At 38.6% G+C, this 24,998-nt stretch overlaps 1 long non-coding RNA gene across 1 annotated transcript; it reads right to left on the bottom strand.

The window, feature by feature from the left end:
* Positions 1–13,142: 13,142 nt before the first annotated feature.
* On the bottom strand, positions 13,143–22,917 carry LOC105377853 (uncharacterized). The gene is made up of 4 exons (XR_942683.3): positions 22,756–22,917; positions 16,987–17,108; positions 16,764–16,855; positions 13,143–13,409 (listed from the first exon to the last, which is right to left on the bottom strand). It is a non-coding gene; the product is annotated as an uncharacterized LOC105377853 (long non-coding RNA).
* Between the last annotated feature and the right edge of the window lie 2,081 nt (positions 22,918–24,998).

Genomic DNA, 24,998 nt, shown 5'->3' with positions numbered 1-24,998 from the left:
AGGAAAACGAAGTATGCCTGTACTTCTGCAGAGCTTTTTCTACTTGTGAAGCATTATGCCCAAGTGCTTTACATGTTTTATCTCATTTAAATTCATACAACAATCCACTGGAATAAGTATTATTTTCTCCATTTGATGGTGAGATGGTATCTTGGAGAGGTTAAGTAATTGCTAGAAGTCACATAGTTAGTGACAGGGTAAAGATTAGGTCTAATCTGGGTCTACTAAAGACATGTATTGTTAGGGGGTCTTATTATTTCTCAGACAACTATCAATAGGTCTGCACAGATCACAGCCTCGTGGAGAAAAAAAAAATGCTCTTATCCTGTAGCAAGGATATTACACAAGTGAAAGAGAAATAGTTATTAGGCTCATCACATTGTTTCTGCTAGAGCATGACTTCAGAAATTAAGTTATTTTCAAAATTTCTTGCAGTTCACTCTGTATGATGGTGATGTTTTTGAGATAATTTCACAGCACATAATCTAACACTTAGCATATAGTTACTGCTTATTTAATGATTGTTGAATAAATAATCATATGAGTATGTGTGCCACTAGCTTTTCCTAACCAGAGCTTGTCATCTGAACCACAAAGCACAAAAATATTCTGAGTGATTATTTACTCAATCTTTTCAAGTATTTATATAGCAAACACCATTCAAGATCCACAGGTGAGAAGTTAATTTATTACATGCAATAGATGACTTAGGACAATGGGGCTTAATTCACTCTTGGAATCCTATAAAGAACTAAAATTAATCCATGGTCTTTGAGGGTTACCTTAACTTTAGTCAGGGGTGGCAAACTACAGCCTGTGCCAAATATGGCCTATAGACCGTTTTTATAAGACCTCTGAGCTGAGAAAGCTTTTAAAAATTTAAAGGCTTATTTTAAAAATTGAATAATATGCAACACAGGCCATATGTAGCTTGCCATGCCTAAAATATGCACTATCTGACTCCTTTCAGAAAACAAAAATTAATCTCTGCTTTTGGTCATAGTACCTATATATCCAAGCAGAGCAACAGCTAACTTAACTGTTATTATTTGAGAAGCCCCCTAAGACACACGGCCTATAAAGTATTTGCTACCAATCTATCTTCAGATATAACATTCATACTTGTTTTCACTTGTACATTGAGCATTAAAACTGCAGCCTTGCCACCCTCATCCTCCACTAAAGGCCCTTGCACAGCAGCATGGCATAGTAAGTAATGCCATAGACTCAGAGTGACATGAGTACCAATTTCAGCTATTATTAGGTATTGCTTATTAGGTGAGAAAATTGGACATGTCAGAGATAATTTCTTCATTCATCAATAATTTGCACAGCAGAGTCTCATAAATAATGCTTCTTGGTACATACCATGTGTATTGGATATCTATTGCTGTGTATCAAATGACCCTGAAATGCAGTAGCTGGATAAAACAACATTTACTATCTCACAATTTTGTCGTTCAGGAATCCAGGCATGGCTTAGCTGGGTCCTCTATCTAGCTCACGGTCTCTTACAGGATAAAATCGAGGTGTCAGCTGTATCTCCAGTCATCTCAAGATTCAGCTGGGATAAGATCTGATTCCAAGATCATTCACCAGTTGTTAGCAGGATTCAGGTCCTTGGCAGCTGTTGTCAGAGGCTGCCACCAGTTCTCTGTCGTATGAGCTTTTCCATAGGGTAATTCAGAATACTGCAGTTAGTTTCCTTAAACTGAGGAAGCAAGCAAATGCCAGCAAGACAGAAGTCACGGTCTCTTGTAAACTAATTTCAGAAGTGATATCCCATCACCTTTGTTGTATTCTATTCACTAAAAGCAAGTCACTAAGTCCAACCCACACTCAAGGGGAGTAGACTACAGAATCTTATTACCAGGAGGAGGAGATTGTTGGTTAGCATCCTAAAAGGCTGCCCAATACATCATGATTGTCATGAGCAGGGAGTACATAGGATGGAAACATATTTATGATATTACCAGAAAAAAAATGCAAAAACTATTTGGAATATATCAGCATCTCAAGGAAGGCATATGTTGAACATCACAGCTCTGCAATAAAACAGAAGTGAACACACTCCTTTGTTCTGTGACTTACAAACTATATATTCTTGGACAAGATACTTTATGTCTCTGAGTCTCTGTAAAACCTACATTGCAGAATAGATGTAAAGATTAAAATAGATAAGACCAAAAACACCTAGCACTGTACTTGGCAAATGGTATATGGTCAATAACAATAGTTACCACTATTTTCCTTCTTACATGTATCCTAGTCTATCCAACTAGAAATCAATATTTTTAAAACCATATAGCTCTGTATAAAGACAATGACATCTAGGAATGATGTTTCAATGAAAACAGTGTTGCAATAAAAATAATATCTTACGTTAGTTTGGCACTTTTCACTCAACAAAGTGTTTTCACAAACTTTGTCTTACTTGATCCTCACAAGGTGTGTGAAGGCAGTTTGGGGCTTATCAAGGCTCATCTTTGTAAAACAGGAAAACTAAGAAACAGAAAGGTTAAATAAATTACCCAGGATTGCACGATAAATCAGTATATCAGGACAAGGATCTCTGAAAAGATGTGGAAGGGATTAGGAGTGTCTGGTGGTGGTAGGACCAAAAACATACTGAAACCAGAAGTACCAGTAAGGCAGGGGGCCACTTAAATCCAAAGAGTTCTATGGATGGAGTAAACCTGTGACTCAGCAGTCAGGAAGGCGAGGGCAGTCAGAGCTTCCCCTGATCAGAGCTCAGGGCAAATATGTGAAAGAAAAAAAAAAAAGCCAGAGCTCAGGACAAATATGTGAAAGAAAAAAAAAGCCAGAGCTCAGGGCAAATATGCGAAAGAAAAAAAAATCACTCAGAGAATGACCATGTAGCCAATGCAGAAGAACAAGGCAAGGGAAGGTCAGGCAAGGCTGATTTTCAAAATTTTTGTCAGATAAATTTCTTTCATTAAATTGATTGAGAACTATAAAAAGACATCAGAAAAGCAGTCAGGAACCTGTAAATCAGGGGAGGATGTAGGCAGTAGGCGGAGTGAATCAGGAAAGGGATTTGGAATGGCACTGACAATCAAAGTCATGCTCCACTAAGAACTGTGAATTAACTTAAAGTAAATACAGTGAGTATATCCAGATATACAGATATCTAGATATACAATATCCAGATATACAGATATCTAGAAATACAATATCCAGATATACAGACAACACGGGGATATTGTCAACTACAGTCTGTATACAACTCCATTTAGGTTATAGTTCATGATGTAAAAAGAAACCTTTAGGCCCAACTTAAAATACATGTAGTTTCATGGTACACCTCCCCAACTTCATCTCCCCCACGTTGTGCATACGAGAGAGAATCATACAATGGCCCCAACCAAGGGAACTCGTGGGCATTCCATATAATACTTAAGACACATTTTGACAGAATATAATATAACTCTACAAGTTATGTTTTTAGAAAGAGTATTTTCATGGGATGGTTAACACCAATATTCATTTGGAAAATAAGATACTGCCAACCTACATGCTGAGACACAAACATTTCTTTCTCCAAGGGCTTGACCTCAACAACATGCCACCTTAGTAGAATACCTTTGCGAACCTTTATAAACTATATATATATAAAAAAAAATTCTCCCTGTGAGAAATTTGTTTCACTGTAATCTGACTTAACACTATAGCCTAAGTTACATGAGAAAAAAAAATGAGTATTTCTCTTAGGATATAAAAAAACAAGAGACACAAGTAAGACTGTTCTCCTTAAAGCCTTTGTAAAAATGGGATGGGCTATAAACACACATGCATTTATTTTATAAGACAAAATTGCTGTACTCAAGTTGCCCCAAATCTAGAAAACTGAAGAAACATGTAAATTACCCACCTCAATAATGAATAATAAATGCTTAGAGGTGATGATAGGGCCTAGAGGAATTAAAAACAAAGGGGACTTCTGAGCAGAGGGAACACTTAAGTAGAGCTTCAAGAGACTAGCAAATGTTAAGGATGCAGCTGTTAAAAGAAAAACTATAGCCAAATTAAATTTAAAAGAGTTTAACTGAGCAAAGAATGATTGGCAAGTCAGGCAGCCTGTCGAGCCAGAGTTGGCTCAGAGACTCCAGCACAGCCAACATGGTGGAAGAAGAGTTATGGACAGAAAAAGGAAAATGACATACAGAAAAGGAAAGTAAGATAGAGACAGCTGGATTGGTTACAGCTCGACGTTTGCCTTATCTGAACACAATTTGAACAGCTGGCCACCTTTGAGGAACTTGGTGATTGGCACAGGCATAGACTACAGTCTGTATACAACTCCTTGTAGGTTATAGTTCACGATGTTCAGAGAAAGCTTTAGACCCAACTTAAAATACATAAGGAGGCAGCTTAAGGCTAAACTTCATTTAACAGTGCTGAAACATAGCAATTAGCTTAATGGCTGGGACACCAGTGTATGAAGAGGAACATTGTCTTAGTCTGTTGAGACTGCTTTGTTACAAAGTACCAAAACAAAGGAACAGAAATATATTTCTCACAGTTCTGGAGGCTGGGAAGCCCAAGACCAAGAAGCTGACAGAGTTAGTGTCTGATGAAGGCCCTCTTTCTGATTCATAGATGGCACCTTCTCACTGTGTCCTCAAATGGTAGAGGAGCAAACAAGCTCTCTGAGCCCTCTTTTATAAGAGCACTAATCCCATTAATGAGGCCCTGCCCTCATGAACTTATCACCTCCCAAAAGCCTAACGTCCTACTATCATCATCTTGGGAGTTAGGATATAAATTTGTGGAGGGACATAAATATTCAATCCAGAGCAGACATTAATAGGTTGGTCTACAGAGGTTAAGGCATTAAACCTTGAGGAGTTAAGGAGTCAGGACTCTTTCCTGATAGCAACCTAGTTCTGTATGGACTAATTTTAAGTAGAGAAATGACAAGATCAGATTTGTATTTTAGAAAAATCACTTGGAGTCGGAGACAGGGATGGAATAATAGGGAAAAGACTTTTAGCAAAGTAATTTATTCCTGGAGAAGCTTCTGAGAAAAGGATGTACCTAATCAAAACAATCTAATTTTATGCATACTCTTCCACTGTAGGTTTTGTACCTGGTTCTATTTTTAACCCACTGTTAGTGATTCCTGTTACAGACACATCTATTTTAGACTGGAAACTACTTTAATTCGTACCCTGGGTGATGAGGTCTTTTCAGAATATGAGGTATTGTGATTAACTTCACTTATTCACTAGCTCTCTAAAGACACACTGTAATTGGGTTTGATGGCCACTGTATTTTTTTGTCATTTATAGTTGGGTTTATGGTCTTTTTCAGAAATAATAACCAAAAAATAGAGCCTTTATAGAAATAATGAGCCATAGAAGAATTTTTTACCATTTGTTAGTGGCATCTGCCAGTCTGCTTGGCCATGCATGACAATAAATGCTATCTTTCTTGCTTTATGAAAATGACAAATTGAAATATGACTTCACTTTAAAATGCATTTGGAAAGGAATAAGACACATATCATATGTATCATAAGAACAATAAAGCATAAGAGAGTTTCACCTGACTTTTCACACCTCTTTTTGGACTTCTTTAGTTGTAAAAAAGAAAAGGTATGGAAATTACTAAATGACACACAATAGGCAGCTGACACCCATAGAGCTGAATATGTAATTCTGTGGCCTTAGGGAACTAGATATTGTTTTTGCGTGTGTGAGGGGAGAAATAGTGGCCCAGAATCTATAAAACAAAAATACTGTCATGGACCTATGATTTATGCCACAGATGATCTTAAATGTTTACTTTTTCTAAATTTCCAGAAGTAAATACCAAGTACTGAGCATCGGTGCTGTGCAGAAATCATTAGTGCTGTTCACCCAAAATTTGGGGTTTTCTCCTCAAGCAGATGGTAAGGCTGTAGTTTCCTGCCCCTTTTAAATGAAAAGCACCCAAGTGACTCACTTTGGTCAAAAAACTATTTTTAAAAAGTGACGTGTGCTATATCTGAGGAGAGGTTTTAAGATGCAGTGGCTCTCTTATCCCTCTGGCATAGCACATGGGCATGTTCAGGAATGTGGTTCTCCATCAGTCTAGGTCCCTGGGTGACTACCAGAGACCCATTTTAGACCTGACAGACAAGTAACAAAGCAAGAAAGGAATGTGTATTTTTATGGCAGCAAAACATCTATCTTGAATGATACAGAAATAAGTACCTAGACATGAGTGCTACCATAGCAAATAAGCCTAAAATATATGGTAGAGGCTAACAACCGGGCAGTAGACAGCAAGCAAACTGCCACTGGAGACGAGAATGATAGTGATCGTTGTAATGCAGTAGCAAAACAGTTGGTAAAACTGTTGCCTGGGATAATATGGAAGATAGAAAATGTAGCTCTAGAGAATAAGATAGGAAAACAGTGTTAGTGATATGTATTGATTATAATTGGCTGTACAGTCATGCACTGCATAATGATGTTTCAGTCAACAATAGACCACATATATAACAGCAGTCCTACATGATTATAATGTATTTTTACCGTGTCTTTTCTATATTTAGATATGTTTAAATATACAAATACCTACCACTGCATTATAATTGCCTACAGCATTCGGTACAGTAACATGCTGTCCAGGTTTATAGCCTAAGAGCAATAGCCTATACCATATAGCCTAGGTGTGTAGTAGGCTCTACCATCTAGGTTTGTGTAAGTACATCCTGTAATGTTCACACAACAACAAAATCATCAAACAATGCATTTCTCAGAACATATCCCTGTCATTAAACGATGCATGACTGTGTTTGACAGGGCACCACAAAAAGAGATGACTTCAGAAACAATCAGGGAGGTTTTAAACATCAATAAAAGAAAATAGGGGCTGGGCGCAGTGGCTCATGCCTGTAATCCTAGCACTTTGGGAGACCGAGGCAGGCGGATCACTTGAGCTCAGGAGTTTGAGGCCACCCTGGGCAACATAGTGAAACCACCCCCCCATCTCTACTAAAATACAAAAATTAGCCGGGCATGGTGATGCGCACCTGTAGTCCCAGATACTCGGGAGGCTAAGGCACTAGAATTGCTTGAACCCGGGAGGTGGAGGTTGGAGTGAGCCAAGGTCACGTCACTGCACTACAACCTGGGCGACAGAGCAAGACTGTCTCAAAAAAAAAAGGAAGTGGCCAGGAATTTGGGAACCTGCAGGATTGCAGAAGGTGATTTTATCTCTTCAACAGTTAAAAGATGAAACTAGAGGCTTTGAAGCAAAGGTCACCTGGAATTCTGCCTTGGGTCAAGGATCATATCAAGGATGTTATGGGATGAATTTTATACCCTTCAAGATTCACATGTTGAAGTTCCAACCTCTAGCATCTCAGAATGTAACCCTATTTGGGAATATAGCCTTTAAAGGGGTGATTAAGTTAAAAGAAGCTGTTTTGGTGGGGCCCTAATCCAATCTAGTTCTTATAAGGAGAGAGAAACACTGGGTGTGAGAGTTGTTCTATGTACCAATTTGAGTGGCCCACTGGGTGACCCATATTAAACATTTTTCTGAGTGTGTCTGGGAGAGTGTTTCTCAATGAAACTAGCACTGGAATCAGTGGACTCAGCAAAGTTGATTGCCCTCCCAATGTGGCTGAATGTCATTCTATGTGTTGTGGGCCTGAGCAGAACAAAAGGCAAAGGAAGGGGGAATTCAACCCATTTTTCCTGACTCTCTGCTTAAGCTGAGACATCTCATCTTATCTTCTGCCCTAGGACTGGGATTTGCATCATTGGCTCTCCAGGTTCTCAGGCCTTTGAACTCAGATTGAATTGTATCACCCACTTTCCTGAGTCTTCAGCTTGTAGATGGCAGACTGTGGACTTCTCAGTCTCCATAATCATGTGAGCCAGTTCTGTATGATAGATAGATGATAGATAGATAGATAGATAGATAGATAGATAGATAGATAGACAGACAGATTCTCTATGGGTTCAGTTTCTCTGGAGAACCCTAATACACTAGAAATACATACACAGAGAAAAGACCATGTAAGGATACAGCAAGAAGGCAAGCATCTGCAAGCCCAGGAGAGAGGCCACAGGAGAAAGCAAACTGCCCACACCTTGATCTTAGACTTTCAGCTTCCAGAACTGTGAGAATATACATTTCTGTGGTTTACACCACTCAGTCTAAAATGTTGTGATAGCAGCCCTAACCAACTAATAAAAGGAAATGGCTGCCAGGTGCAGTGGCTCACACCTGTAATCCCAGCACTTTGGGAGGCCGAGGCAGGTGGCTCACTTGAGGCTAGGAGTTCGAGACCAGCCTGGCCAACATGGTGAAACCCCATCTCTACTAAAAATGCAAAAATTAGCCGGGCCTGGTGACACACGCCTGTAATCCCAGCTACTCAGGAGGCTGAAGCAGGAGAATCTCTTGCACCCGGCAGGCAGAGGTTTCATGAGTGGAGATACTGCCACTGCATTCCAGCCTGGGTGACAGAGCAAGACCCTGTCTCAAAAAATAAAAAAGGAAATGCCCATCACATCACTGAATGAAATAAGATGTTTCCACAAAAACCAGTAAATGGGTTCAGTTCAGTTGGACCAGGTATCACAGACATCAAAGATTTCAAAATTAAGTCAAGAGGAAGAGAGAGGCATGGGAGCAAGGAAGAATATAAATATGGTACATCTAAGAAATATGTCAAGAGAAGAACTTTGGGTGGCCATTGACACATCTAGTTGTTTGAGTCAAATAGAAATGAAGCTTTGTCAGTTTGGCAGGAAGTAGATGGCATACACAAATTATGTAACTGAAGGAAATGTATGAAAGAAGTAGTCTACAGAAATATATCAGAGGTAAGGTACCAATTAGGAATGATGAGGTACTCAGGAATTAGCAACCACAGGAAACCTTTGCCACCCCTAGGCCTCAAGGACAAAGGGACAGCACTGTGTGGAAGGATCCTGGTGAGGTCTGGAGCCAGGGAAGAAAAACCTTTAGACAGGAGCTAAGACCAGCTGAGTAAGGTAGCCACTGCCAGGATTGTGAAAAGGTTGAGGAAGGGAATGTCAGGATAGGGATAAATACTGCAACCTCTCTCCCTCTCAAATCCTGCCCTCCAATTTCCTACCTGTGTCTGCCACTTGCCCAAACAACAAAAATCCAGAGTATAAGGAATTCTGGATAATGCAGTCCACAGAGGTCAGCTCCTGGGACACAGAATAAGGCAGAGAAGGGAATATATTTAAAGGGCAGAGAATAACCAACACAGAAACTTATTCAATATTTTAAAAAGATATCCTGGTGAAAAAGAAACAAACCTGGACTGACAAAGTGACTGTGTGAGACTTTAAATTGTCCTGGAGCCCCCAGTCTTCTGTAGGCCAAATGTAGGAAAGCTGCTCATCTCTCTTGAGTTGAAGACTTGGAGCCTAATCAAGCAATATTTCCCATCACCTGGGGACCATCCCTTCTGCCCAGCACATTCGTTTGGTTTCTATGGATCAGTGATTCCTGTGTATCTCCCTTTCCTTCCCTTTCTGAATGGAAGTATTTATGAAGTTATCATGCTCTTGCTTTTGCCATTGCATATCAGATGTATAGGGGACAGGTAACTTGTCTTATAGTTCATAGATCTCTGGGTCATAAGGAACCACACTGGACCTGCATGTGCTGTGACTGAATGGCACTTTAGCGTGTTCTGCCTCTGGGAGGCAGTAAATGTACATATCGTGAAGGAAGAAAAGAAAACTTTATGTTTGTTAGCTAGACAGATGTCCAGTGGTAGTCATTAGTGCTATTCTGCATTTCCCCACCCAGCCAAATTTTCCTGGTAACATGACTTGCTCTGGCAAATAAAATGTGAGCAGAGGTGAGATGGGTGTAATTCACTGCACACTCTCTTTCCCTTTCCTTTTGGCACAGCCACACACAAGTTCAGGATGGTAGCTCCTCCATCTGATTGGGTCACTGAGGGCCCACAATATGTAGAGGTAATGAATATACATCATTAGCAAGAAATAAACTTCAACTGTTTAAGTCACTGAGAGGTTTGGGGGTTACATGTTGCCACCATGCTATCCTAGCCAATCCTAAGTGGTACATGTAGACAGTGAATTAATTAGCACCTGTATTTTAGACTATGTAGTAGTCATTGCTGGGGTGGAAACAGTAACTTTAGAATCCTGAATATCAATATCTTTATTGCCATTCTTTAGGGCTAGCTATGTTAATTGTGAAACAAATGGAATTTGATTATCATCTCCACCCTCCTCATGCCCAGTAAAAAACTTCCCTGTCCTATTCCTTCTTGGGTATAATGTGAATTGATCTGAATCATAATGGCTAATAATAAGTGTGTGTTTCTCCTTTCACCGGTACTCAGAGAAATCTTCCAATGTGGCAGCACATTTCTCAGCCTCAAGTATACTACAGTGAACGAGACAGATGTAGCCCCCACTCTCATAAAGCCCCTTCTAGCAGGAGGAACAGACAATGATGTGAGTGACTCAGCCACATTAGTGGGGAGGCTGAAGGAGTCTTCTCTGAAGAGCTAACAGTAAAAGTAAAATCTGAACAACAAGGGACCAGCCATGTGAAGACAGGGAGAAAGAAAATCTAGGGAGGGGAAACAACTTGTACAGAGTACCCTACCACATGAATGAGCTTGGAATATTTGAAGAACAGCTCATAGTCCACAGTAGAGTATGGTGGTTGAAGGGGCAAGTAATAGAAGCCTTTTGAAGAATAGGCAGGTCCAGATCATAGAAGGCTTTATAAGCTAGGGTAAGGAGTTTGGGATTTATTCTAAATGGGAAAACACTAGAGGATTTTGAGCACCAGAGGGATATGATTTTATTAAGTTGTAAAAAGTTCACCCTAACTGAAGTGTGGAGAATGAATTAAGAGGGGGCAAGTGTGGAAGGAAATGGACCCAGGAGAAATGCACTGCAGCAGCCCAGGTAAGAGGTTGGAATGATGGCGAGAAGAGGACAGGTTTGGGATGTTTTAAGGTGGGTTTGACACATCTTATTGACACATGGAATGAAAAGATGAGGGAATCAAGAATAACTCTCAGACGTTGGCTTCAGCTACTGGGTGGAAATTGGTGCCGTTTAACTAAGCTGGGCTAAATGTCAACTAAGGTGTTTCGATAACATTTGCATTTAATTGTGGCCTTTAATGTCTTTAGCAGGAACATGAATATTTAGGAGATTGCAGAAATAGTAGGGGAAATACTTTTGAAATGCTGAGAGGAGAATGTTTCCTTCCTTTAAAAAAAAAAAAAAAAGAAAGAAAGCAAAACTGATTTTCTGAATTTGGCAATGAAAGCTGGACCTCCTCAATGGCATGAGGTGATATGACCTTTTCCTGCTAGATTCACCCCTCCACTTGGCAAAATCTTCTCTTTGGCCCAAAGAGCAAGAAGGAAGGGGAAATCCTGATTTTCCTTTAATGCTTGATCCAAATATGACTCTTCCTTTGGTATCTTTGAGCATGTCTTTGACACAGCATGAACATTTAAATATGAAACAGATGTAAGACATACCATGAAACTCAATTTTTTAGTTTACCGAGACATAACTTTTCCCCAACTTTCTGTCCACTATAGATCTCTTTTAAATTCCTTATCCTTCCTCAGGAGGTGGAGATAGTGGGGTGTTGGGAGTCCCTGTTATCTTAGCACATCCACCGTCCAAACACTCAGTCCAAGACCTCTCCTTTCATCTAGCCTGGTGTTCAAATTCTCCCTCTTTCTCTTACTCAAGGCATCCCCTTTCTTGAATGAATGATGCTGGGGATAACCCCTTCCCTATCCAGAGGACTGTGGTATCTGCCTCTTTAAGTTCAAAACAATCACATACAAGCAATACACATGCACTTGCTGGGGCAGGAAGGGGTGGGATCCTTTCCTTCCTTTAGCCTTTTGGCATCTCAAATTAGTCTATGTGAAAGGCCTTCTCTTTACAGACACCTAATGATTAAGAAGTCAGACTCTGGGGAGAGACCACCAGTTTTCAAATCTTATCCCTGTTGCTTACTAGATGAGTGAACTTAAGCATTTATTTAACCTCTCTGAGCCTCAGTTCTTCTTATGAAGATCAGGGATAATAGTACCAATCTCACAGGGTTGTTGTGAGGATTAAATGAGATGGTATATGTAAAATGCTCACCCCAATGACTAGTTCTTAGTAAATTCTCAATATACATTAGCTATTATTATTACTACAGAAATATCATCATCATCATTATCATCATCATGATTATCATCATCCCAGTTCATAATGAAATCAAGATGTACAATCGTGGTTACAAATTTTTCATAGACTCAACCCAGAAATAGAGTGCTTTGGTGCAATATCTGGGGCATATGCATAGAGGATCATAAATAAATTAATAACTAAGTTTCTTTCTGTATTTCCTCTATGAATCTATAAATATATTCCTTTCTTGTATACTAAAAATCAAAATTAAATTCATGATTTCTAAGGCCATGCATTTTAAATGTTTTAGGTGTCCACTTGATATTAACTCTGTTAGTATAAAATTTCCCAAATATTCACCTAATCCTATCCCTTCCAGCTTTGTTATAACTAACAGTTGCCTCTTTCATAGTTGCCACCATGTAATATCAAATGAGCACTCTTCTGTTATAAGTTCACTATAGAGTAGTTGTTTGCAGATTGCTCTTAATAATAGTACAGTTTTGTTCTGAACCTATGATTCATGAACAAGTTTGAAAACAAAAAGGCAGAAGATGAACTATAAATCCTAATGCTGGGAGAGAGAACCAGGCTATTCAGGCAGATAAATCTCAGATATCTCAGAATTGTGATCTTCTGGATCCTCATTATTATTCTCAGCAGCAGGGAGAATTGAAAATAGTTGCATTTCTACAATGGATAAACAGGTAGCTTATACAAGATCTTTCTGTTTGGGTCAAAAATAGAAATATAAATAAAAACAATGAAACCGTCAAATAGTAAAGATATTCTTGAACCAAAAGAGCCAGGGTTCAGCTGTACTTGCAATAAGGCCCATTGAGGGAGCCAGTCATTCTAAAATATCCCTTCATTTTATTCATTTTTCTCTTTAAAAGACAAAAAACAAAACAAGACAAAACCACAAAAGAGAGGAGACACGTTATATAATCTACACACTGGAAGCCTAACCATTTTTATTTCTTATTGCAGTTTGAATTGGAAAGGAACACAAAGTCCTAGAACATGGTAATTCATCTCCTGTTTCTTTGTCTGCAACTACAAGTAGGAGATAGTTCAGAACCATGCCAATCAGAAAACACAACAAAGCTGTATTAGCTTCTTATTTGTTTACTGACAGATCACAGGCCACTTCCCTGGAATCTCAGACATCCTGTTAGGTCTTAGAGGCTCCATCCAGGCATACCTAGAGAACTTCAGAAAAGAAAGGGCGTTTAAAAGGGCTCCTCTTTTTGTTCTGTGAACATATCATAGTTGAGTTGAGTTTTTAAAATATTCTCCACCCTTGTTTGTTTCTTAATGCAACACCAAGATGTAATTTGTATGGAAGCCAAAACTAGAGACATGCTGAATATGTGAATACTGAGGAAGTGGTTTCCTTAGCAATAACAGGCATGTGAAAGTCAAAACTTCCTTTCCTTCTCATGTGACCTTTTTCATAGCAATTCAGATAGAGGACAATGGAATTGAATTCCAAGCACCCACAGTATTCATGAATTGCTAAGCAATGATTCACCAAGTACCCAAATTACTCTAGACTGCTTGAGCATTTTATTAGTGAAATTGCTTTGTATTTAAAATTTCCTTCCTCACTTTGTACATCAGTTTTCCTCATTCCTACAGGCCACTTTTCCACCACTTTGAGACAACAGACATAAATAGAGCAGTACCAAGTAGTGATTAGTATAAGGACTTCAGAATATCAGAGTGTCAGAGCAAAACATTTCATACAATATTCATAACTATTTCCTTCCTTTGGAAACATTAGCTACTAGATGCATATAGAAAAAGTTTGCTCGATAGCTAGCTACAGTTTGTTATTTCCTCAAAATAAATAATATAACTTAATTTGGGGGAATTCACTCAGTTGTATTTTAGAAACACTGAAGTTTTCTTTTGTTCTAATTACCGATGTATTTTGACCCACTCATCCTGGAAAAAAAAAAGTGCTACATTTGGCTTACAAATTGCACATTTGGCTTAGTCCTCAAAGGTGGTAATTTATTTAACAATACATTAGCAAGCTGGGACCTTCAAGTGGTATTTTTTTTGCCTTTGATTAAATTGTAGTGTTTTGAGGAACATAGACAAGGCAGTCTTATGAACTCTTATTTCTCTTTATAGTCTGTGAATTGTGAATTTCAAAATGACTAACATTACTTAACTTCTTTCAAAATTCTATTAAGTGACTCTGCAGTGAGTGTTGCCAGACAGACCTAATACCCAGGTAGCTATAGGTCTGTGATCCTGATCCTCTGTGCTCCTGATACTTGTGTTTCACAGGGCTGTAATAGTGGCTCTCATACTGGGTTATTATAAGTATTCATAAAGTGTGTAAAGCAAATGGACTAAGTAGAAAGGCACCGTAGCAACCCAGGTGAGAGGTCATCATGATGGAGGCAAGAAGGCAGATTTGGGATGTTTTAAGGTGGATTTGATGCATCTTAATAATAAATTATATGAATGGATGGAGAGAATCAAGGATAACTCTAAGATTTTGGCTTCAGCAACTGGGTGGATATTGGTGCTATTTAACTAAGCTGGGCTGGATGCAATAAGGTGCTTTGATAACATTTGCATTTAACTGTGATTTTTAATGCCTTAACTCAGGACCACAAGTACTTGGGGAATTGCAGAACTAGTAGGGGAAATATATTAGAAGAGTGAGTGTTGCAAAGTAGCTGCTCAATAAACCTTAGTTCTCCTTTCCCCTATCTGTCTCTTTGTTGTGACATTGACTTTGTTGTGACAGTCAATTTAACCTAAACTGCTCCTAGTTTAATGGCTCTTCTGGACTCAGAAGTAGTGCAACATACAGCCTTCATATTCAAGTGGCCCCAATCGTTACCTTCCTTGATAGTAAATAAGAGGTGAGTCTTAATAAAAGTATAAGGATCTCCAGTGAATTCACTATCTAACCACTCTCTACAGAGCTTGTGAGATTGTTTAACAAAGACAGTCTGAGTGGCCCAGGCAAGCAGGGTAATTTTCCACACCTTCAGACAAATACAGTGGAGATACAAAGTTTGCAATGTTCTTATTTGGCCCCCACACACTGCACTCTGGCAGTGAGAGAGGTCAGGCTTTCAGGAGGTTATTTCTGAACCTAGACAAGCATCCCACAGTGTGTGTGCACTGCTTACCCTCAGTGAAAAGTGGTTCTCATTTTTAGTGCCGTAAATCCTATGATCATCCCCTCCCTTTTCTAACCAAAGCTGGTTCTGGAAGGTGGGCACTACCCCACAGTGTTGATTTGGCTAGTCCTGCTTCCACTGTAGCCAAAGTCACTGAGAAAGTACTTGATTATCTTTAGGAGTAGAACAGCCAGGGTAAGCCAGTGGAAAAATGTTACAGAATGACAAGTAAGTGCTTGCTAAAATATTTTTGGTGCTCACTTCAGGTTGACTCAGCAGGTCAGAGAAATGCGAATCCAGAAGTTAGGAGTGACCTTGGCTAAGTCACTTTATCTCTCCAGCCATTGAAAGCTTGGATTAAATCATAGGCTTTAGAGCTAGGTTCCATGGAGCTTTGGAGTTCTGTTATACCTGTCACAGGATAGGGACCATTGATAAAAGAGACTCTTAGCAGATGAGAATCTGGACATCTGGGCTCGGAGAAGCTTTGATTTTACCTGTTTTTATACACTGATTTAATTTGTTTAAAAATATCCACGAGCGAAAAGGAAAAAATAATTAAAAGTATACGCTAGATGGTTTCTAATTTCTTTTGAACCTGGACGTTCTAAAATTGTTACAAGAACAGGTATATAGATTGTAATTCACATAAGAACCAGTTAACAAATATAAAACAACAATAACATGAATCACCAGCACTGTTTCATAACCAAAGATTATTCTCCTAATCTTAGCCAGAGTCTTATAAATGTCTATTTTTGTCCAAAAAGTATTGAGAAAGATATAATAGATAATTCAGAGTAAATCTGTGGCAACTAGGAGAAGAAATTTAAAAAAAGAGAGAGAGAGCAAGCATGAGGTTAAGAAGCTTGTAATCAGTGAGGTTCTCCCTCTAACTTAGGGAGAAAAAGTTCCTAATACCAGCAATGCATATTGACCAAACTCATTCTTACCTATTTTGCTAATTTTTTTTTGACCTTTAAAAATGTCATAGGCACTGTTGGGTGTTCAAAGTGAAGGTCTTAAAGGAAATAATACTTTGTCCACATCATTGGGCAACATTAGGAAGAATCAGAGCCACAAAGGGATGAAGACAACCCTCTTTGTAGCCATGTAGTGGTTCTATCAGTAACAGCTGGAGTCAATCTCTCTGTGCAGCATATTTTTAAGAGGTGAGTTGTTTGATACCTGCTCCCCATTATCCAACATCTTCAGGAAAGGCTGAAGCAGCCTTGCAGTTTTTCTGGCACGGTTTTACCCCTATTAAAAAGGCTATTGTTGAACTGTTCAAATTGGGATGCTTTGATTGTTAGCACGTTCAGTACTCTGTGATTACCGTAATTACAGACCTGTGAAGGTCAAACTGACAAAACTGAATATAAACTGGAACTGAATATAAACTGGGACAACTCACTGCATTAGTTCTTTTTGCACTCTTCGGTTGTTGTTGTTGTTGTTTTTCCCTGTTGCTGTTGTTGTTGTTGTAAGAGTTGCCAAGTGTTAAATCTATAATAGAAAATAAAAATGAAAGTCATCAATTTTACAGTTTGGCTTTGGCTACGTAGAGTCAATATTCAAGGAACTAAAAGGAATGCTCCGTTGTACTTTCAGGTCCAGTTATACTTTTGGGTCATTACCTTCCTCCATAGTCATGGTCTTGAGTTCATGTGATGTATCCAGTTATGTTTTTAAAGTGGGTCATGAGTCTTCAATGTTTTGCAGATTTTTTCCTTATTTTTCTCTTTGCAGGAACATGACGCTAAATACAAAATACATTTTTTGTTTGTATATGTATAGAGGAATATGTAGCAGAAATAGTTCTCATGTAAGGGGAACCCACACAATTATACAAAAATAAATGAAACGGTCTCCCTATAATTGCATGGCCAAAGACCAGAATAAAATTACTTCTCAGGTACACTAAATACAAACTAGTCTTTATTTTCCTTTGTCCTCATTGATGGCTTCAGACAATAGTTTTAAGTAATAATTAAGTAAAAATAGAGGCTATTATCTTGTATGCCATGTGGAGGCATGAAAAAAGGTAGAAAACAAAATAAATATAAATTCTTTCTACACAACAGAGAATACTGCTTGCATAGTGCCAGGAAAAAGTTTGGGGTCAGGACAAAAGCTATGTCTAAATGAAGCCAAAATAGAAAAGCCGGATGGAAATTAATCAATTCACAAAATCCAGATGTTTCATCTACTGAGATCCAGCCATCTGAATTTTGGCTGCCTGAAATGTTCATGTTTCCTCCAGATGTTTGCTTTCAGGTAGACATAATCATAATGTCCCATGCTTAATTTCATTATAATTTATCATATTGTTCAAAATGTTAAGTGTTCTCTAGCTAATGACAAGAATAAGGATAAAAGACACTATTTTTCATGTTTTAGTAGAAATGGCATGGTTAAAGGATGATTGTTTAAAGGATAAAATAATGACTCTTATAAAGTATAAAATGAACATGTGTCACAAACTTTATTTCACTCATCAATTAATAAGGAAAATGTTACAACTGGTTCAAAGAAGAATCCCAAGGAGATATATATATATATATATATATATATATATATATATATATATATCCATTCATACAAATATATATACAGTAAGGAACTTTGAAGTGAAATAACAAACAGATGCAAAGTGGGTCTGTTCATAGGGCAATAGACTACTGCATTTTAGCAGATATAATTAATTTTTATTTCTATGGACAAGAGTCATATGCATTTTTACCAGTTTTCTACAACTTTCTGAGTTGTAAAGTAGTCCAAAGACAGTGGAAGGCAGAGATAACCCAGAAGAATGCACTAAATAGAACACTTGCTAATCTTTTTTATTCCTATTTCAAAGTCTTTAAACTTTTTTCGTTAAATATTTTGTTTACTAAACTAAAATTATTTATGTATGCAAACATTTCTGAATTTCCTTGGTACTTTCAGTTAGCATCACATAATTTGCCACTTGCTTGCACACTCCTAATTCTATTCTTGATTACTGCATATATCTTGCCTCACACACTACGTTGCAATTCCTCATTTTAAAATTGCCTCCTATTCACTCCATTGGTGAGGAAAGGATTTCTCTGTAGTGTTATGGGAATGGCCAAATACATGATACTTCACACTAGACAAGAGAGATCAACAGCAGTGTATTAGTCATATGTACTCACAGACCACGGGAGAGGGACACCATGCCAACAGGGTCACATGGAGCCTGTGCTCAGGAACAGAGTGGATGACAAGGATTGTGGGAGGCAGGCTTTGTACTGTCAAGAGGATGAGGTGCCCCCTGACTCCCATGAGAGTATATGAGTGATTTGTTTGAACAATTCCACAACTGGAACCCACTAGTCAGAAATAAGCAGGAAATGCATCCAGACTGTTTGATAAGGAGGGTTGTTTGACTAGGGGGACGATATCCACAGGAACAAGAGTGGGAACAATGCTTAGACCCTTTGAGATCCCACCAATTTTACCAGAGGTCAAGGCAGCACATAATATTGAGCCCCAATTTTAAGCCTTGCACCACAATTCTTGAGAGCAGCAACTAAACTTATCCAATGAATTAACAATTCGTTGAGCTCCTATGATGTGCCAGATACTGTTCCAGGCTCTGGGCATGCAGCAGTGGGAACAAATGTTAAAAGATCTTTGTCCTACATTCTAGGGAGAGTCAATAAACGAAAGAGAAAAAATACTTAGTATGATAGATAGTGATAAGGGCAATGAAGAAATTTGAAGCAGAGGATGAAGAAAGAAGTGCAGAATAATGGGGGTGGGGTGCTATGTTGAAATTTTAAATACCGTGTGGGGGAGCCTTTACTAAGATGACATTTGAGGTAGGACCCAAAGAGGTAAGCCATGAGGATATCAGGGAAAAGAGCTTGGAGATGGAAAGACCAGCATCGTAGCCCTCCACAGCAGAAGAATGTTCTCATGTTCGAGGAAAGTAAGGGGTTCAGTATGGCCAAAATGCCCTAAGCTAGAGGAAAAGCAGAAAGAAATGGGGTCACATTGAGATACAGGGGTTAGAGCACAAATTGTGCAGTGCCCCTTAGCATTTGATTTTTACTGAAAGATGGGAACCCAGAAAAGGGATGTGGGTAAAAGAATGGCCTGCTATTTGACCAACTTTTCTTTTCATCTCTCGAAGAGCCTAGCAAAGTACTGAGCACATAAAGGCTGCTGAATATATTGTGACTGGTTAATTGCAAAGGGAGCAACACCTTTCTTCACTGCTTTCCACAACTTTTTACCTTAATCACAATTAGATGCAGGTTTATTTCTACCTAAAAATATACTTACTGCAGAGATATGGACACTAAGAAAGTTCAGTTTATACATAGTCAAGGTGTGAGCCAAAACCCATTTCTTTACTGATGAGACCTGGATCTCTCATTAAAATATCACAGGTATAATAGAAACTAGCACACTTACATACAGTGAAGGATACAGCCCATGCAAATTCTAGAATTTTCTACAGACCTCTACCATAGGACAAGGGACATTTGAAATTTAATATATTAGACACATTTCACCTAGCTTTTATTCTTCATAATTTTTTTAATTTTTAATTTTAATTTTTATAAGTTCATAGTAGGCGTATACATTTATGGGGTACATGAGATGTTTTGATACAGACTTGCAATGCATAATAATTATCACATCCTTCATAAATTTTATTTACATAGTGGAAATATGTTTCAAGCTGTGGAGCATTTATAAATTTATACTGGGATAGCATCTTAAAAATTTTCCCTTCTATGAATAAGTTCACATGGAAAAACAGTATATGTTATAAATTCTGAAATCAGCAACTTGACTCTATATTGTGCAGTTTGACAGACAGGACTCATAATTTAGTTCAGTCATGGCTTTTCTGAGTAAATATAGATCTATCACTGACATAATTAGCCAATCTTCATTTTCTCCCACCTTGGTCATAGATTTGATTTTTTATCATTAGCATTTAGAGAGAGTAGCATGTATAATACAATAAAGAGTGGGATATGGGACGGAAAAATAGGAGGAATCCCTTCACCTGCTGCAGGAATGTGTCATTCTGAACCCTAAAGCTGATTCTATTTGGTTTTAACAAGGTATCATCTCCAAATCCTATCATGTTATATTATGTTAGAAACATTAAGTTACAATGGGAGAGTCCCAGTAAGTGGAGAAAGTTGAAGGTTGTCCGATAAAATTAGGCAAGGGTTCACATGCATGCTTTGTCACACACTTCACTTGCAGACACATCTGAAAATGCACCCCCAACACCCCTAACATTGTCTTCCTGGAAAGCACCATTTATTAACAGGACTCAAACATGAACTACTCAATAAAGATCTTTCTTCCTCTGTTCCTCCCTCCCAGAACTGACAATGCATTCATTGTACCCTATAAACAATTTCGTTACTGATAATATGTACCTCTAAGTCTGTTTCTCCTATTGGACTGGAAGCAATTTAAAGATAGTGATTCACTTTTATTATCTTTTTATCCTGAACTCCCAGCACAATGCCTGGCACATGTAGGACTGAAGAAATATTGTTAATTATTTAATTTTATCACACTCACTAGATCCAACATGATAACATGAGAGAAGGAAATTCTACTTCAGCTCCATAATTTGAGAAAGGTCATTCTTCTTTCTTAGAGGCAGCACCATTACATAACAGAGTCACCACTAGTGGCAGTAGAGTTTGGTGTATAAGAAGAAATGGGCTGGGCACAGTGGTTCATGCCTGTAATGCCAGCACTTTGGGAGGCTGAGGCAGGCAGATCACTTGATGTCAGGAGTTCAAGACCAGCCTGGCCTACATGGCAAAACCCTGTCACTACTAAAAATACAAAACTTAGTCAGGCGTGGTGGTATGCGCCTGTAATCATGGCTGTTCAGGTGACTGAGGCAGGAGAATCATTTGAACCTGAGAGGCAGAGGGTGCAGTGAACTGAGATCGCGCCACTGCACTCCAGCCTGGGAGACAGAGTGAGACTCCATCTCAAAAAATAAAAATGAAGAAGAAGAAAGGGATCACTAGCCTTTAAATAATTCTGTTTCAGCATTATGATATAAGTTTTTTATTTAATGAAGTTATTTTCATCTTCTCTTCAGCAGTAGCATCACTTAAAAACCCATTACGTATAAGAGGTGGTGTCCTTGAAACTGGATCTAAAGATTTCCCAACTTTCTGAGACTCTAAGGGTTGAGCTGAAATTTGTCTTTTGTGCAGAGTCTTGCTTTGTGAGAAAGAGACCATTCTGTAGGGCCTTTTTAAGTCATGCATGTGTAATGAATTTACTTAGTCCTTGAGAAAGTTCTGACTGGTGAAACATTCAAATGCCATCCTTTTGAATGGAATTTATACATTCTGTGTTCTGGTTTTGTTTTGTTTTGTTTTTCAAGCAATGGTTGGCTTCTTGGAGGACAGAATGACACTTCTAGGACCATTATAATATCCAATAATGTTTCCTCTTATAGGCCCAGATATAGGGAGTTGGGGCTCTATATTTTAGGAGGAGAGAATCTAAGAAAGAAACTATGGACCATGGTTGGGCGCCACACTACGGCAACTGTCAGGGACAAGAAGGAGAGACCAAAGGGGTCCTTTGAAAAATAATATAGACTCTGACAGTGATAGGTTAAACTCTTTTTCCCAACTCAGAAACAGAAAGCCAAATACTGCATGTTCTAACTTCTAAGTGGGAGTTAAATACTGTGTACACGTGGACATAGAGTGTGGAATGATAGGCATGGGAGACTAGGAAGGGTGGGGAGGGTGAAAGGGGGGGTGGGTGATGAGAAATTATTTAATGGATACAAGGCACACTATTCTGGTGGTGGATACACTAAAAGCACTGAGTTCACCACTACACAATATAGTAAGGTAACAAAATCGCACGTGCACCCCTTAAATTTATACAAACTTTTTAAAAGTGGTGTTCCCTTCTGTATTATAAATCCCCTATCATATCTTGCAAGTCTTCATTTACTTTGTCAAACACGATATCTTTGTGTTTGGGAACTAAAGGAATAGTGGCTGCAGCTTAGAAAAGCGTAATGAGATAATTGGTGGGGTGTGGCCTTAGAGTGGTGGTCCCTGGTAGCAAGTGACAAGTGGAAGCCAGAGAAGCTTTATGCAGCATTTAGACACTCACTAGGGATTCCCAGAAATGTTGGGGAACAGCCCTAGAATTCCTACAGTCAGGCAGGTTGGGAACTCAGCTGGCTGTTACTATCAAAAGAAAGGGGAGCCTTGGAAACCAGAGAAATGAGAAGCACTTGGGTGACAACAGATGGCTTTTTTCAAAAGAAAGTTAAGGTAAGACTAAAATAAGTATACATTACACTATGTCTCTCCTAAGGAGCAACAAAGTTCAAGTGCATGTTCTTGGGTTACCTTTCTGTCTTTACTCCTGAGGACTAAGAGACCCCAGAGACTGGCAGATGCCTCCAGAAAGATGAACATCTAGTCAGAAGAGAAGGCAAATGAGGAGGGAGGAGGACATGGCAGCACAGAAGGAGGAACACAGGGAGAAACTGGAGAGGTACCCTGAGTGGTGAGAGAATGCTTCAGGGCTCTCTTAGCGGATTGGACTAAGAACAGAGGTGATAATTATTCTAAGGAACAGGTAGCAGGGCACAGGCTCCGACCAATCAGGACAGCTGAACCAGCCAATCAGAATGGACAGGGTACAGGCACTGACCAATCAGGACAGCCAAACCAGTCAATCATAATGGACAGGGCCACGAGCAGCCAGTAAGGCTGAAGGTTCACAGGGAGTCCCACAGACACGAGGGGTCTCCAGTCCTCCCTACATGTATATGTCAATCACTCTAATCAGATGGACCACTCACTAGTGAAAAGCACCCTGCCTTCTGAGAGTGGATTTGTGCATCATCACTGGTAAGGAATTTTACCATTTTGGTCAGTCTCTTTCCCCCCGTGCCTCTTTTTCCTCCCCCCTTCTCTACTGGGCTCATTTATGAGCTATTTTTTCTCTCTTCCTACTTTTCCAGTGTGTTCTGCAGCATGCACTCAGCTCTTTGGAATTCTGTGGGTGGCAAGGGTTTTCTCCTCCATTTCATGTGCTCAGTGATGTGGAAAGAGAAGTATGAACTCTGACACTTTCCTTTTGCGAACATTTTGATGAAAGGACAAGTGATAGTCACAAATTTCAAAACATGTGGCAGGGGAGATGTAGAAGACACCTCATTTGTTACCAGCAGCAGCTTCTTTCTCAGATCATCCCAAAACGCTGGCATGTGCCCAACAGCTTAATTTGGAGAGAATCCTATTTTATTCAAGCCTCAGATAGAATAGGCTATGAATGGTTCATTGGATAAATACTCATTCTCTCCCTCCTCTAAGCCCTAGGTCTGTCCCTCTTGCACCCTCGTCATCTTTGCTATTTCTCTTTCATTAAATTCCTTTGAAGTTGTGGATTATTTTTGCTGTCTTTGAACATTCCTTCTGGCTAGTGGATTTCAGAAGTGCAAGTGCTTTAAACTTTTCTCTCCCCTTTTGAATTAATACTGTACTCCACATTTTTTTCTTTCCATTTTTGGTGGACCAACTACTGTGTTGTTTTATATTGCATTTTCATTTCAGAACTATTTGAAAATGGAACTCATGCCATGCACGTGAATATTTTGCTGCCTCTTAGCTGATTTAATCAGCATGGATACCATTATTCATGCAATTGCATGAATAATTTATCTCACTGTTGTAAAAGTTTAATAAAAGTTTTCTTGTCTTTATCAAATTCCATGTTACTCTTTGTTCATTTTATAGCAGCAACATAATCAGAATATAAAGCAGCTCATATCAAAAAGCAATGAATGGCATAGACTTTATTAGAGCTCTTGTGTTATTTTGTATTGCCATTTTACCTATGATTGAATAAGATTTTATATATGAAGAAAATGAGATAGATCTATTGAGCTCAGCATGACCAGCATTAACCAATCCATTCCACTTTTGATTAGAAAAATTTGGAGTCACATTATTACAACTAAGATGCCCAGCCTTATTTGTACTATCCAACAGAACATGTGTTTCTTGTTCATGCACATGTGTGTATATATATATGGGACTCTTCTACCCACTGTGTAATACTATTTTATGACTAACTCTTTAATCCAGAATAATTGGTATTTCTTGCATAAAGAAAGGCACCAGAACAAATATTATTTGTTCACAGTTGATTTTTCTGTTATAGCCACAAATTAGCCACTTTCAATCAGTGAAATTACTCTACAGATTAAAAGTATTTTGATAACATTTACATGTTTTCCTTTAATGTGAGAGCAGCAAACCTTATAAACAAGAACCATCGACACAATAGAGGATTAAGTATCTATACACAAGAGCAATACATGGTAGCTTAAAGTAATGGCACCTCTTCTGTGGAATATTCATTGATCTTTGGAAGAAATAGTAGCAATTTTACAAAAGAAAATAAAATTACTAAATATATTGTGCCTGCTCTCTCTTGCATGCACTCTCTCTCTTAAACATCATGCCTTATTTTGGTCTTTCTATAGTCATAGAGATTTAGGAAATGGTAGAAGTTCTAGAAGAGAGACAGAAAAAGGACTGAAGGCATAAATATTTGTGTGTATATAAAATATTATATATAA

The sequence above is a fragment of the Homo sapiens genome, chromosome 6 (assembly GCF_000001405.40).
Source record: "Homo sapiens chromosome 6, GRCh38.p14 Primary Assembly".
Classification (NCBI taxonomy): domain Eukaryota; kingdom Metazoa; phylum Chordata; class Mammalia; order Primates; family Hominidae; genus Homo; species Homo sapiens.
The sequence above is the reverse complement of the archived record's forward strand: the minus strand, read 5'-3'. Positions and strand labels throughout refer to the sequence as shown.